The 17,205-nt window shown below is 37.7% G+C and overlaps 1 long non-coding RNA gene and 1 other non-coding gene across 10 annotated transcripts in view; one reads left to right on the top strand and one right to left on the bottom strand.

Moving 5' to 3' along the window:
- MIR99AHG (mir-99a-let-7c cluster host gene) overlaps positions 1-17,205 on the bottom strand; it is a 561,240-nt gene that overhangs the window by 330,359 nt on the left and 213,676 nt on the right. The window lies entirely within an intron of this gene.
- On the top strand, positions 16,601-16,673 carry SNORD74B (small nucleolar RNA, C/D box 74B). Its single transcript, NR_145757.1, has one exon. It is a non-coding gene; the product is annotated as a small nucleolar RNA, C/D box 74B (small nucleolar RNA).

Below are 17,205 nucleotides of genomic sequence, written 5' to 3'. Positions count from 1 at the left end.
CAAGCAATTCTCATGCCTCAGTCTCCCGAGTAGCTGGGATTACAGGTGCCCACCACCGCACCAGGTTAATTTTTGTACATTTGTAGAGACAGGGTTTCGCCATGTTGGCCAGGCTGGTCTCGAACTCCCGGCCTCGAGTGATCCACCCACCTTGGCCTTCCAAAGTTCTGGGATTACAGGCAGGAACCTCTGCTCCCGGCCGAACTAACATTTTTTAATTGCCTTTATGCTATCCTGGGTTTGAAGGAAATTTGTTCATTCAACATATATTTTCTATATATCTATTTAGCAATGTTCAAGCTTCTAAAAACGCAATATGGATTATTTTAAATGATCAGAGGATTATATGCTATGATAGAGAATAATGAGAATGAAGAAGAGAAAGAGTTCTTGCATAGACAGAATGGTCAGGAAAGGCCAGGAGAAAAGGTCTTCAGAAGGCAACAGAAGGCAATGCGTGAAATGAGTTTTTAAAATGAGAATGACCCCGTTATGGGAATCAGAACACACCAGGTTTCTGCACTAGATGGAACAGCTTGTGTGAGGGACCAAAGGCAGAAAGGCACTCAGCATATTAGGAGAGGCTAGGATCTTATTCCCAAGGCATTAGACACCCGAGGTACCACCATCTCTCAGAAATGAGATGTGGGATATAACATTTTTTAAAATCTCCTTAGATTTGAGGACCATCAATTGCAACCCAATATATTAGGCAATAATTATTAACAATATCATAAACAATCCTTGTGGCATTACTTGGTGAATAATCTGGTCTTCTCATTTTGCTTAACTGAAAAATTTGCATACTTCGGACACTGGTTTATGATTTTTTTCTCAAGAGCAAATGAAACCATTTCCTTCCTATAGGTTAATGCTAACAGGTCAATTTGGCTATTGGTTGAGGTATGTGATTCTGGTAGCAAATATATACCTAACATTCTCAGTCAAGAACAGGTGTGTCCTCTGAGTTTACCTACTTATACGGCAAAATAATTCACCAATGATATTATTTCCTTTAATTCTATGTTTTGTCTAAGTATTCAACCACAAAATTTAAGGGCATCATATTATACATGAAAAGGATTGACTCAAGTAGTTTCAGTATACTAGCAACTAAACGAATTGAGTAGCATACATGTATGCTGCTTCTTTATGTTACGATTAGACATGATACTATTTTCTACTTAACAACCAAGAATATTCAATTATAATATAATTTATGTTTTTAAGAAAAATTTTTAAGTTAACTGTTTAGATCTCTTTTGGGAAGATAAAATGTATTCATTAAATGCTCTAAAGATTGGATAGGCAGTTCAGATCATTCTGAATAGGCTGTGGCCCAAGCAGGATAAGAAATTAATAACACAACTATTAAGACAAATTACAAGGTGTTTCTGCTAAATAAGATACTTAATAACAAGTTTCACTACATTTTTCCAGCCACTTAAAAACAAATTGTTGCAGCACTGTAAATTCTGGCTATTAGAACACAAGATTAAAAGCAACATGTTTCAAACTTACCATGGATATACAATAGTTGACATTTTTAACGGTGGCTTCCCTTTACTGAACTTCTCCCGAAACAAGTATCTTGCTCCTTTACAAAGTCTAATTTACAGATGTACCCCTTCTTGGAAATTTATGTTTAATCATGTAGAAGATGAAAATAAAGCTACAAAGAATGCTTAATACACTTAAGGGTAGAATTTTGTACTTAATATTGATGGCCCACTTTTCTTTTCTTTTTTTTTTTTTTTTTTGAGACAGAGTCTTGCTCTGTCGTCCAGGCTGGAGTGCCGTGGTGCAATCTCAGCTCACTGCAACCTCTGCCTCCTGGATTCAAGCAATTCTCCTGCCTCAGCCTCCTGAGTAGCTAGGATTACAGGCGCATGCCACCCCGCCCGGCTAATTTTTGTATTTTTAGTAGAGACAGGGTTTCAGCATGTTGGCCAGGCAGGTCTCAAACTCCTGACCTCGTGATCCACCCGCCTCAGCCTCCCAAAGTGCTGGGATTACAGGCGTGAGTTACCACGCCCGGCTAATTTTTGTATTTTTAGTAGAGACAGGGTTTCAGCATGTTGGCCAGGTGGGTCTCAAACTCGTGACCTCGTGATCTACCTGCCTCGGCCTCCCAAAGTGCTGGGATTACGGGCGTGAGTCACCGCGCCCCGCGATGGTCCACTTTTCTAAGTGCATTAGATACTTTGGCTTTAATTTAAAAGTTTTTTGACATGGGTCATCTGTACCAATAATTACATACTGAAATGCTCTTTTGGTGTTCAATTTGATAAGTCTAATTTAAAATCAGAGTTAAAGTTGTCACTTTATATAAGATTTTATTTATTTTGGGTATATATCAGTGCATTACATTAAAAGTGTTTAATTGGAGTACCATTATATAGGAGGTATTAAGTGGCAAAGTAGGAATTTCAAAGTAGGTGGCTGTGAACACATTGAAACTATATAAGGCCTGAAATGAAGAGACGTGAGAGGGTTTTCTGAGGAAGATTTCTTTGGGGAGCATTGGGCCTGCCTTTCCACTCAATTTTAATGAAAGAGATTTCAGTAGGACCACTTGGGGAGCTGAAGTTTGAAGACAGAGTGGAATTGACTTTGAATCCTGTTGGACAATGTAAATGTCACACTTGGATTAGCTAACTGCTTCAGCCTTCGATTCAAGAAGAGCTTCCTACAATGTTGATAATCTGCTTAAATTCCCAGAATTCGTCAGTGCAAAAATAGATGAATATAGCCTGTGAGCCATATTTGTGTTCCCAAGCATGAAAAGAAGCTCTCTAACAGAACACCTGGAAGGATACTGGACATCATAAGGGAGAAAGTTGTGTGGAATAGATCCCTAAAAAGGTGAGCTGAGGATGACACACAATGAGAGGAAACTCTATTACCCAACACATAGGAAGTACAGTCGAATGTTCCCAGTGGGTTCCTCTGATACGCACCCAAAAGCACCCAAAGGGCATAAACTACCCTCCCTGGATAGTGGAAAGTGCAGTAAAGACAGTAACAGTAAAATGGGGGTTCCTGGATATCCACACTTCACCCCTCTGCAACTTTGATCACTGTGCAGTAGAAACTGTCCTTAAGAAGATGCTGAAGGAGGAATGCAAGCCGAAGGTGGGGAAGAACAGAAGGTTCTCCCCTCAGCTTCTGAGGCCGGGAATATCTTGCCTGCAGCAGATCCCATCTAGGCAAAAGGAGTGATGAGTTGAGAGGTATATTAGTCTGCTCTCACACTGCCAATAAAGATATACCCAAGAATGGGTAATTTATAAAGGAAAGAGGTTTAATTGACTCACAGTTCTGCAGGGCTGGGAAGTCTCAGAAAACTTACAATCGTGGCGGAAGGGGAAGCAAACACGTTCTTCTTCACATGGCTCAGGAGAGAGAAGAATGAGAGCCCCGCCAAAGGGGAAGCCCCTTATAAAACCATCAGATCCCGTGAAAACCAACTCACTATTAGGAGAACAGGATGGGGGGAACTGGCCCCATGATTCAATTATCTTCACCTGGTCCCCTCCACAACACGTGGGGATCATGGAAACTACAATTCAAGGTGCGAGTTGGGTGGGGACACAGACAAACCGTATCAAGAGGGATGACCAACAGCCAGTTAATACAGGACATTTGCACCTCTTTTAAAAGTTCAATTTGTGTGCAATGAAAAGACTTCGGAAGGTTTTAAGAAAAGAATGACATTATCAGATCTATGAGTTAAAAATATCAATCTGATTGCCCTATGGGAAAGAGGATAGAGAAAGAGAAGGATTAAAAACTGAAGAAGAACATTTGGGGTGTTATTGCAATAGTTCTGCTGTGAGAGAAGAGTGTCGCATTCTAGGGTGGTAGCAATGGAGATAAACAGAATGGGATGGTTTAAAAATATATTTGTGAGGTAAAAGTAACAGCACTTGTTGATCAATGAGATTGGGGTAATTACAGAAAGAGAGGTCAAGTATGACATCTGGGTTTCTGGCCTGAGCAATTGGGTGGATGAGGGAATTTAACAAGGGTGGATAGTAAAATAAGGCTGGAAATCCAACAAGAGTGGGTTGATGCCAGGCCGGAAACTCAGCATCTCCAGAATTTTCTATTCGAGGAACGTACGAGTCCTCCCCAAACCTAAATTTCCTTTCCTATTCCTTGCAGAATTGTTGGCCACTCTTTCCAGCCTCCAGGGACATGACTATTTCCCTTAATAATGTCAAAGAATTTGCATCAATTCCTAATTGCCAATGATCTGTTTTTACTATCTTCATTACCATTTTCTTGATAGTATCCCCAGCCTCTACTACACTTGCTGTTCTACATCCAGCAATACATTTTCTCAGATTTTTTAGCTTTCTTTTTGTTTGTTTTGCAATCTATTACTTAAAACATTTACATCAGCTATAATGGTCAAAGTTGTTGGAATTTAAAATAAATAGCACAAAAGGAGACTGTTACAGAGTGCTAAGATCATTTGAGGTAGGTTGTGTTAATAGTAATTAGCTAACAATTTAGAGTACAATCCGTCATGTTAGTTCTCATTGTCTGAAAGTTTAAAATAGCATTCCAAGCCCATAAATAGTAGACTATATTATTTTTCTCTGTATTTATGTTTTTTGTTTGTTTGTTTGTTTGAGATGGTGTTTTGCTCTTGTTGCCCAGGCTGGAGTGCAATGGTGCTATCTCAGCTCACTGCAACCTCTGCCTCCCGGGTTCAAGCGATTCTCCTGCCTCAGCCTCCCAAATAGCTGGGATCACAGGCAAGCACCACCACACCAGCTAGTTTTGTATTTTTATATATGTTTCATTTTTATAAAAGTGATTGAGAAACAGGATTAAAGTCAATTAGCAGAACCAACATTAATTTCTTAGTTTTGTTCACTGGATTGCAGTTACATCATATGTTAACATTAGGAAAGCAAGGTGAAGTGTATATAAAAACTGTGTACACTATCTTGTAACTTTTCTGTAAGCCTAAAATTATCTCAAAATAAAAAATTTTGGCCGGGCGCGGTGGCTCACGCCTGTAATCCCAGCACTTTGGGAGGCCGAGGCGGGCGGATCACGAGGTCAGGAGATCGAGACCATCCTGGCTAACACGGTGAAACCCCGTCTCTACTAAAAATACAAAAAAAATTAGCCGGGCGTGGTGGCGGGCGCCTGTAGTCCCAGCTACTCGGGAGGCTGAGGCAGGAGAATGGCGTGAACCCGGGAGGCGGAGCTTGCAGTGAGCCGAGATCGCGCCACTGCACTCCAGCCTGGGCGACAGAGCGAGACTCCGTCTCAAAAAAAAAAAAAAAAAAAAAAAAATTTTAAAAATCAGCAATGTGAGGTCATTTAAAAGGGGTATATGTATACAAAATCTCTGAAAGAGAAAGATATTCAAATACCAGCATTAAGGGCTGTTATTCAGTGTTATGTCTTTATTCTTGATTAAATACATGAGTTCATTTACATTTGCAAATCAAATCTGATTGCATTACATAAGATAAGACAGGAATATATACACAAATATATGACTACATAAGATGACTTGGAGCTTAATGAATAAACAAGAGTTAATGTTACTTAAATAATTATAAAAGAGCTAAGAATCTACCATGAATCTCAGTCAAAATTTGCTTACATTATGGGCCAGTTTACACTTTTCGTTAAGAAAAAATATTTAATAAATTTCCAGAGTTCTAGGAAAACCTCTTAGCTTTACCTAATCTGTTAACTCGACACCATTTTTCCATTTACTCAGGCACAAAATGTCAGTTGTCTTTAACCCTTCTGCTTCCTTTTTTGTTGTTGTTTCACCCAAACACTTCCTAAGTCATGCCAAAACTTCATCTTCATTATATTCACTTTTGTCTCACATTAAGTCCTTATTGCTTCTCTTACATATTACATAAGAACATCCTCTTACATATCATTCTCACACTCCTTGACTCAAATGATACCTTCTACATACATATGGCAATTCATTCTTCATAGATTATAGGCTTGATTATGGTCAAAAGACTTCAAAAGAAATATATTATCTGGAAAACAATAGGAAAATAGAAAAACAACACACTCCCCTAGAACCTAGTCTACAGGTGAACACTTTCGTATCTTTCCAATCTCAACTCACACCCCATCTTTCCATGTATACACCCTGCACTCCTGCCAAAGTGGATTGTCTACTTTCCCTAAAAAGGCCCTACACTCTTCCATTTTTACTTTTATTCATGTTGTTTTCCTCCAGCTGAAAATATTAGTGCTCTCATTCATTCAAAGGACCAGCTTTAATACAGAAACCCAGGATCTGCTTACCAAGCTAGTTAAGATGACAGAGTGGTCCTGCCCTTTACAGGCTTCCAATGCAATAGTCCACTTTTCCCATGCAACTTTTCTGATCCACCTGCCGATATGTAGGTTTTTCCTCCTTGGACCTGCTTTCTTTGTTGTCATGGCTTCTGTATTTCTGTGTTCTGTTTTACAGTGACTCATACACTGATATGGTGCTCCTAAGTGTTGCTTCCATAAGGTCCAAAACTGCTTGCATACATTTTTCTACAACTCGAAATGTCCAACAGAGGAGAGGATACTCAGTAAAATCATTAGAATTAAGTTTAAAACCAAAGGTATTCTCTAAAAAGCAGGGATTACTCAGTTCCTGATGAACTCCTCCCTTTCCTACCCTAAGCTTACTACAACTTTGTCAAATTAGTTTTTAGGCTTAAAATATTGACAAGCATGCTACTTGGACAATAGTGCTTTTTTAGAGTTTGGGTCAATAATAATCAGTGATCCACATTTAAATGTGACATGCTTGTAATTGCTTTTTCTGTCAGAGAAACTACATGTCTCTTTTATTCTACATGCTGTTCAAAATTTCCGATGGAAGAAAGGCATAGCTGAGGTTTGTCTATCTTCAGTTCACTCTATTTGGAATCTTATTCTGTCTTTGTATTCATTATCTAACATTTACAGGATGTTGCATATGGTTGTTTGGACTGAGCCCTGTGAAAGGGAGATTGGCCAGGGTGGTGAGTGAGATTGAAATATAGCCCAGGCTCTTCTCACTAAGCCCTAAGCATGAGTCCAATTACACCGGCAAGGGCACACGTGTCATGTGCACAGAGGAAAGGGCACCTTTGGTAATTTACACGAAGTACAGGTGGGGATTCACATAGTCAATGAATGTTAATATATTGCACAGAAACATTTCGATACTAAAATCCTTGGGCTTTTTAAAGTCCTATTTTATTAATAGGAGTGCAATTTTCACATAAGTGTATTTCAACATAGAAACAGTGAAGAATTCCATGAATTAAACATACAGGTTCTCCCAAGAAATAATAAAAAGATATATTGGGTCATTGGCTTGATTTCTTTTCCAATGTAAGATTGTTCCCTCTTGCATATTTTCATCGTTTTGTCCCATATGAGTTTAAACGATTTAAGCTATGGTTCTTACTCCATTTCCCAAGGGTGCATATTCAAGAGTCTGATAGAAGTCACTGATAATGAGTTGAAGAGTTGGGGGGTGGGTGTTTATATTTTATGTTTCTTTGGTGAAGTATCCTGGCTACAATTCGGGGCACTGAGTTATTACTCTTTTTGTGTGTGTGTGATGGAGTCTCGATCTGTCACCTAAGCTGAAGTGCAGTGGCGCGATCTTGACTCACTGCAACCTCCACTTCCCAGGTTCAAGAGATTCTCATGTCTCAGCCTCCTGGGGTTATTACACTTATATTCACTATTGTATTATTATTCTATCAGTAAACATCTCCTATTGGCCAACTATTGTGTTGATAATGTTTATTATCTCTAATTCCCTCTGCAAACCAGCCTTATAGGTAATTTCCATTTTTTATAGGATAAAACTGGGGTGTTTAGTGATTTCTCCAAGTCCAGAAGGAAAGCATGTGTCTAAAATGAGATTATAATCCAGGTCCTCCTGGCTACAAAATAACTTTTCACTCCTTCAGATAAAGTCTTGCAAACTATGTCCCACTTTCCTTAATAAATTCATTCAACAAATACTTATCAAATACTTCTTTTGTGCCCTGAATTCTTCTAGATCCTGGGGTTAAGTAAAAGAGACAATGCCTTTGCTATTATTGGACTTATGTTAGGAAAAGGACAACAAACAAATACAGAAATATATAATGTGAGTCCAGGTATTGACAAGTACCATGATGCTAAACAAATGAGGATAATGAGATGAGAGTAATGAGTTGGAAGTAATGGTTGGGAGGCTGGATAACGTCTTTCTGAGGAAGAGATGCTTTAGTGGTAGCCTGAATGTAACAAAGAGAAACCCATATGAAGGCTGAGTGTCCCAGGCAGATAGAGTAAGTGTAAAGTCTCTGAGGTTAGAAGGATTAAGGCACGTTAGAGGAACATCTTCAAGGCCAGTGTCTTTAGGACATGATATGCAAGGGAGAGTGGTAGGAAATGAAGCCAGACACATACGCAGCAGCTTCAAAATGTAGGCTCAAGCAGTCGAGGGTAAGCAGTTAAAATTTCTTCTAATGAGAGACTATAGAAAAGCTTTATCTAATTTACAGTTTTGAAAAATCACCTTAACTGGTGTGAGCAAAATTAACTCTAGGGGGAGAAGAATGAAAACAGAAATATCAGTTAGAGGGCTATTGTAGCAGATGACAGTGGCTTCAGAAAAAGCGGTAGTTCTGGGGGTATGGGGAATTGACTGTACTGGAACAGAGTTGAAAGTAAAGTTGGCAAGACTTGAGGATAGAAAGAATGTGAGTGTCAGAAAAAAAGAGAAATCTATCACACCTTGCCTTTACACTGGAGTTACTGGGTGGGTGAATGTTGGTACCATTTACTGAGACAGGAAATTGGAAAGGAGCAGGATTTCAGGAGTAGATGAGTGGGAAAATATGAGGCCTGTTTCACACATGTCATTACTTCTTATGACAATTTATACATCTCTCTCCCATTTTGAATGTATAATGTTTTAGTCTACATCAAAAAAGATCTAAAGGGTGTTGGCAGATAGGTACCTCCCAAGAATGTATACAAGATGTGAAAATAATGTTTCCCTACATACTTTCACTCACCCACCTGCCCAAAATACAAAAGTGCCCCTATTGTTTTGTATTATAGCTACATATTTATTCATTGAGACATGTAATTTCATTTGGATCATGAAACCACTGATTAAAGTCAACCAGAGAACATGCAATGAATGTTAGTCCTTTTTTTTTTGCTCTAGATAACCCCTGTGATGTCCTGAGGCAATCTTCTGTGGGTCCATTTTCTCCATCCATGAGTACGTCTCCACGGTCCTGAGATTGGGAGCAGAGATACAAAGTTCTCTGGGATGTTTTTTTCTCTGTTGGTTTGTCTGTCTCTAACTTTCTTTTAGAACAATTCTCAAATCACATTTCCTCCAAATATCTTTCTCTCATTGCTCTGGGCTACGTAGAAAAAAAAATGCCCAATTCTATTTTGAAGTTCTGAAGAGGATTGATTTGTATCACTTTTTTAGCATTCAGAACTGACTTAAAATTCTTAGTCTTCCCTCCATTTCAAGATGCTTTCTACCTAGCTGTATTGCAAACTGCTTAAGGTAAAAAGTGGTCTTTTGTACACTCACGTCACTCTCTACTGAGCATAGTGCTCACCTAAGACAACTTTGATTAGTTTTTGCTGATAAAAGAAAATCAGAAAACCTATCTTCCAAAATATAGAAAGTTTGCAAAATCGTAGAGTTGTTTGGGGACTTTTTCTTATATTTGTGAAGTCTGGAAGCAAAATTACAGGTACTCTAATCCCACAGTTTTTTTTTACTTGCATTTGAAACTTTGCTAGATAAACTGTTACTTGCTAAAATAAAACCAGACAGATCGATAAACAAAGAGGACAAGAACAGACATCTATGCTGATAAGCGGCATGCTTTCTTTTGCTAACTAGCTTGTTCTTTTGTGATGATATTTTGCTTAGTTACCTTTATCTGTTTTGAACGATACCAAGCATTCCGTTGACTTATTTTACTCATAAGCAATGATAATTCGCATGAGGATAAAAAAGGGACAAGACGGCAGAGTCCATTTGAAAGGAGTTTCCCGCCAACCATGTTGGAGACTCCTGATTCCTCCTCACTTGACTGGAAATTCAGGTGATAGTTATCTGGTGATAATCATTAGGATTAATGTATACAATTTATTTTGATTTTATAATCTGTAATGGTCATATAAGCACTAATATGATTTCCTGAATTCACTATTCTACTGGAAAGAAAATGTTTTGATCAGCTAACAAATATATACATCCTTCATTTATCCATGGTTGTTTTCTTTTTTCTATTGTTGATTTTCCTGTAAACTTGATTATGTGAGAGTTAATCCTCAAGGACTTTTATCACCCTTGAGTACAATGACCAAATAAGCTTCCTGACCAAATTCAACAGTCGTGGAACACTTGGACCCAGCTGAGGATTTTTATGGCTTAGCTCAAAACAGTGAGCTTTACAATATAACATGACAGGAAACAAGCAAAGAAGTGCATGTCTATATTTTCCAGACATCTTTAGTTATGGGTAAACACTCCAAAATTATTGTTCCCAAGTGACAGGTGAAAGTAGCATGGCTGTGTTGCTTTACCCCTATTCTCAATGGCCCACTTGCCCAGATTATTCCAATGCCCTGTCCCACGCTCGTAATTCAATCTGGGACAAAGCAATCTTTTAGAAAACTTGCTGTGCTTGGGGGCCAGAGACAAATTTGGGTCCATATTTAATATAATGGCACGGGCGCGGTGGCTCTACGCCTGTTATCCCACGCACTTTGGGAGGCCGAGGCGGGTGGATCATGAGGTCAGGAGATCGAGACCATCCTGGCTAACAAGGTGAAACCCCGTCTCTACTAAAAATACAAAAAATTAGCCGGGCGCGGTGGCGGGCGCCTGTAGTCCCAGCTACTCGGGAGGCTGAGGCAGGAGAATGGCGTGAACCCGGGAGGCGGAGCTTGCAGTGAGCCGAGATTGCGCCACTGCAGTCCGCAGTCCGGCCTGGGCGACAGAGCGAGACTCCGTCTCAAAAAAAAAAAAATATTCAACTAAGTAATTCAAGTGATAGCCAAAAGGCTGACATTATACTCATTAATGACTGAAAACAAAACACAACAAAACAAAAAGCCCATAAGAGATTAATCAGATTTTGATGAGAGGAAAGATAAAATGCTACGGTGGGAATATAGTGAGAAGGTTGATCAACATGAAGAATTTCTAGGTTTCATCTGGACTACCTTTTTCAATGTGTGATTTGAGGGTATATCTTCTATTCTTAGCAGAGTATTGTTTAAACTTTCACCACCAAAATAGCTTGTCAAATTTATGTAGCAGACACCCAGTTATTCTCAAAAAGGATCTTACTCAGAAAACAAGCTTGGAGGTACCTTCTTCTAATATAAAAATTATGAGAATATTAATGCTAATACTAATTTCTAGAAATGATCTGAGGAGAAACAGAAAAACAGGACCCCAAATTCTTCCTCTGGAGTAACAGATCTCTATAAAGAGAAAATTATCAACATATAGTTATAAAACATTCAAATTCCTTCTCATGCTCAGAACGCATAATTAGCATCTGCATTTGGGAAGATGAAATTTAACTCATCATATGTTAAAAACATCTTCAGATATGGCATAAAGTTTTCTGACTATTTTAACAAGCATACGTTAGCCTCCTCCAGGGTGCCAGGCACTGTGGGCAGAAAGATAAATAAGACAAGGAACTCTGCCCAGCAAACTCTAAGACCAGATGATAGGGTTGACCCTCAGTAAGACACCTAGAGGCCTCCACAGGGCAAAGACCTTTCCTAGACTTCCTCTTAGATTTGAGCTCCCATAGGTTTTCTGAGCCTTGGGACCTTCATCTGTGAAAGCACAGAGATGAAGTCTGTGACCACTAAGATTCCCGCCATATCCAAAACTCCAATGTTAGGATTCTAAAGAGTTTCCAATACAATTAGAGAGGAAGAGATGAGTAAAGTGTGAAAAGCAAGAGAGATAGAGATTGAGAGAAAATGAGCTAATAGAGAGAACAGATTTCATTGAATCAGAGTCTCATTTGGAGAATATCAACTTGAAGTTGTCTTAGGTTGTAACTGTAACAAAAAAGGTATTAAAAAATACTTTGACGTTTCAAAAGAACAATCTATTTGAGATAAATGGTAGTGGACTACTGAGGGAGTATTTCAAACCATGCTGCTATAGCCAGAAAGCCATGCAGGAAAGATATTAAGACAAAGACAGAGAAACCAATGGAGGTAGATACCAGTCAGAATCTTGCAAACACAAAGATAGGCGCAGAGTGATTATGAAACTTAACATCATCTTGTTGATGATTTTGATTGTTGATAAATTTGAAATTGTTCATACCTTGCCTGCAATAGAATGCCTAGAACATCTTGTTAGTTCAATAATGTAAAGTGGAGGTTTAAACGTTGAAGAGAAGGAACTGCCAGGGTCTAAGGGATGGCATCTTCCTTTAAATCCTCTTTGATGAACAGAAAATAAAAATGGCGAATATAGGAACCTTCTGTTTCTCCAGCGCACTAAGTATGGTCAGCATGATTACTTCAACCTTCATTTATCATCTCCAATTGCCTTTTACTTTACAAAGCTTACATTCTAATTGGAAAGAAAGCCTATAAAGAAATAGAACGCAAACAACAACAAAGTTTTTAATATTAACTACAGGCAGCAAAGAATTTTTAAAAAGAAAAACATATATCATTGACAACTGGTGCTTAACTATCTTGTAAATTGCCACGAAAAGAGTTCTTTAAGAGTTTAAGGGGAGGCAATATTGTCACCATGATTTGGTTATGTATTCTCCTGGAATTGAACACTGAAACTTAGTGTATTAGGTATGACCCCAAACTAGAGCCTCTGTTTCTATAAATTCTGTAAATCATAGTTACTTGTGATTTTTTTAAGTCTACCTTATGAAATATTTAAAATTCCATCAGTTAGCTGTGGAATGTAGTACAACTTGGAAAGTTGCTTTTCAGTAGCACCTTCTTGGATCCAAGAGAGTGAAGAAGCACCCCACACCCAGATTTAGACCTGAACTATCTCAAAGGATAAGAGAATGACCAAACATACCACTGCAATTCCTACCCTATCTGGGAAAAGTTATAACATTATCCTAGCACATCAAGGAGAACTATTCATACCCTTTGTGAAATGAATAAAATGGTTTGCATTAATTCCCAACACAAGCACACAAATATGTTCATTATGCAGTAATGCTTACTGAGTGTACAATGATTATGTGAGTGTAGAAATTTGTTCTCATTACATCTTCAACCAAAGTGTTGGTAGTGTTTTCATAAAGCATGCATTAAGCAGTCTTAGCACACACCAAGTATATATTGAAAAAAGTCATGTGCAATATTTAGGATACATCCTTTTTTTTCCCAGACATGCTCTAATTATGTCTTATGTTTGGATCATGTAGAAAAACTTTTTACTTACTACCTACGTCTTATGGATGTATTTTCCTTAAATAGATATCAATTATACTTTGATGTATATCTGGTAAGCCTTGTCTCATGAAGATGATTTTTTTAAACATCCAATTTAAAAATTTACAACCTCAGAAGGAAACAGTAAAAATAAAGATAGCCAGGTCCCACCTCACATATATATGTATAGTTTTTAACAATACCTACAAGACATATACCAGCAGCATAAGATTTTGTGTTTTTCTACACTATTGAGTGGGTTACAATGTGGGTTATCAGTTAAATTCCCACCTAAATCATTTCCAAGTGCCCTATAATTTTTGTAAAATTAGTAAACAACTGCTTTAACCAGCAGCTTCTCTTTAATTTTAGGATGAAAGCATGATAGTTTAAAATCACTGATAAATTTGGATTAAGACAAAACACACGGAGTGCCTTCCATAAACAAAATTTTAGGATAACTTTTTAATGACAATTAGTTTTTTTAATAAAATCACTAAAAAAAATCACACAGATTGGTAAATTAGCTTCTGTGAATTAGGATCTGGAATATTTTTGACTCACAGTGGTAGGACCCAAGTGTATTATTTTTCTTTGCTTACATTCCTTTCCCAAATGACTGAGCAAGCTTATTATAGGACCAAATTACTCAGTGTCAAAACCATAAAGGGGGATTCAGAATAAAACTAAACGTGTTGGATGTCTCCCGTGGGCCAAGTACACAGGATAAGCATGGAGCAATCATTTTCATATTCTGAGTCTCCTAATTCTCAAAGCAATGCTATTTATTTTTCAGATAATGAAATTAAGGTTAAACTACAGGCTGTATGCATGTTTCCCAAGGTCATATACTGAGTATATAGGGGAGCCTGGACATTAACATATTGATCTAATGTTAAAACTCCTGCTTATATTTTTATTCCATACTCCCTTTTAGTATGGATTAATTATCAGAAGCCATAACCTCGATTAGAAAATTCTGAATGCTCAATTTGAATCTGGCATTGTTTTGAGAAGGGCAAGGGAGTTTGTTGAACATATCCTGCTTTTATTATATGTGCTTGCAGTAGCGATTTTAATGTCTTTTTAAAAAAAACTTTGCATACATGAACTGTTACTTTTAGAGCCTCTCACATCCATGAATTCCTACAACCCTCATTATAACACTGGTAGCAAACAAAGGTAGTGATATAGCTAAGGGAAAATACATCATCAAGGGTAAGGATCAGAATTCACACAGTCCTAAATTCTGAAATTTACTCACAATAGTACACTTCTTGATAACATAGGCAACAATTAGAATGAATTGTTTATAAACTAAAAAAAAAAATACCTACTATTTTCATTTTATCAGCCTGAAAGTCTATTTGCAGAAAGGTCAACTTAGAATCACAGTCTCATAAAAAAAAAATGAGAAAATAATTTCTCATTTGCAAACTTCAAAAATGGCATGAGTTGGACTCAAGTATTTTTCTATGTGGCTCATTTTTAATTATCTTGAGCTGGTAGAAGAGTGATGTTAGCTCACAGGTCTTTGAAAATAAATCAACAATAATTAACCCCAACTTAAATTCTAGTAACCCATCTCATACATCAACAGAAGTACTCTGTGTATGTGAAAATATAAACATGGCATGTTTGACATTTTGGAGCATCCTTAGAGAGACACTGATTTGTAATTCAGATCACATAGCATATTTGATTTCTCTCACTTGCCCGTGCCCTTTCCCCATCCCTTCCCCCAAAATAAAACACAAAAGCTGTATCTGCAAGGGATGGAGAGCAACCCAGGAATCTGGGCAGAGACTATCCATCACATTTCTGTCTTAATTGAATGACACCAGAATGAGATCGATAAAATGTAACAAGAGACAGCTTTGCATTTCCACACCCACTTATTCCCCCTCCATTACTCTCAGCCACCACCGTGACCAGAAAGCTCAAGTAAAAAACACGAACCCTGCTGCCAGACAAGCTGTTAGGATATGAATAAACTTGTCACAGAAACAACAAGACTTATAAACATTAGAAGGGAGCTAGGGAGACAAAAAGTTATTAAAGGAATATTGAACAAGCTTCTTAATAAAAGCCATTTCATAGATGTATTCTCACTCCTAAATAACTTCCTCAAATGCAATGTTTCAGTTAAATAATCTCAACAGCTTTCCCTAGGTGCCCAAGATTACTTGAGACTGACTGCATCAATGGCTGGCTCAAACACAGATGAGGTGACAACTCAGCTCAGACCTGCAAGTCCTACGATAAACGTGGGGCAGCTGTGATATGTGTATGTCAAAGGTTCCCAAGATCTCCAATGCATTATTGATAACCTCATCACTCCGCTAAAAGCAAAAGCTGACATTGTTATAATCTCAACCTTCTCCTGAAGAGCTCTGGCTTTGCCCGGGTATTGATCACAGGAAGAAGTAAACCAAAGAGTAAAACATAACATGTAAAAATCCAGAAGGTTAAGGTTTGCTTGCACTCGCTATGAGTGCGTTAACCACAATCACATGGCCTGTTTTAGTGTGTTATACCTTTGATGGTTTACAATGCGGTCCTACTTCTAGGCTATATGTTGTAATAATTCATTTAATACTCCACATCTTGAGCTTGTTACAAGTTATCCGGGAACAAAAGTCCGTATTACAAAATAAAAATAAACCTTCCATGTAGTTGTCTAAAAGGCAGATTTTTTTCTTCATTCCAGTAAATTTTTTCTATATCATTTTGAAATTTAATTACATATAGGTGACTGTTCTTTCTTAATCTATCTTCTTTCCATTGCATGTAACCCTTCAAGGAAAAATATGTACCTACAAATATACTCTATAAAATTTTACTCTTTTATTATTTTAAATAATAATGTAAGACTACAAAACATATTAGTGCCTAAGTTCTTTTAAAATTTTAGATGTGATTTTAAATTATTTTTAAATTATATGTTGAATAATATGACAAAACATAAATGTCACGTCTTATCACAGGTAGTTCAAAGTGAGAATTAGAAGGTATATCCAAAGTATGATTTAGAGCTTGAATATTTTATATTTTCTATGTTCATACTTGGAGATAAAATCTTAAGTAGCCTATCTTTGCTACTAAAAAAAAAAAAAGAAAAGTTTCTGATGAAGCCTATGTTGGTAGGGACAACTAAGGTTGTTGATGAATGCTAACAGCTCTAACACACACACACACACACACACACACACACACACACACACACACACAAAAGAGAGTGAGAGGCCATTATTTTCTTAGCTGGTAGATGACTAGGTAGTTTGCAAAATGATCATTAGTGACTGGTTGCTTCTGGATTCCAGAGCAAAAGAGCTTACAATTCAAACATTATTTATGAGTGAAAACAACTGGTCATAAGGCACTAAGAGCAAAATGTACAGAGTTTGGTTTTACCTGCAGACAGTGGTCACCTGAAGCAGGAGCTGATGGCTGCCTGTCCAGGTAAGACACATGGCATGCAGCAGTGAACCTGTTTCATCCACCTTTGACCTGCTGGGCCTTGTATGTGATGTCATGTAAATTTGCCCCAGTTACAGATTGATATTGTTCACCATGAAATTAAGGCCCCAGAAAATGTGAATATAATAAGAGTAGTTACAAGTCTTTATACATGGATGCCTCTATTGTGAGGCATACAAAATTGTTAGTACATTCTAAAATAAGTAAAAACAAAAGCACCCCAAGGTTTACCACATCGTTTTGTTA

This window comes from Homo sapiens, chromosome 21 (assembly GCF_000001405.40).
Source record: "Homo sapiens chromosome 21, GRCh38.p14 Primary Assembly".
NCBI lineage: Eukaryota > Metazoa > Chordata > Mammalia > Primates > Hominidae > Homo > Homo sapiens.
Note: the sequence above shows the minus strand (reverse complement) of the source record. Positions and strands in the feature narration are given on the sequence as shown.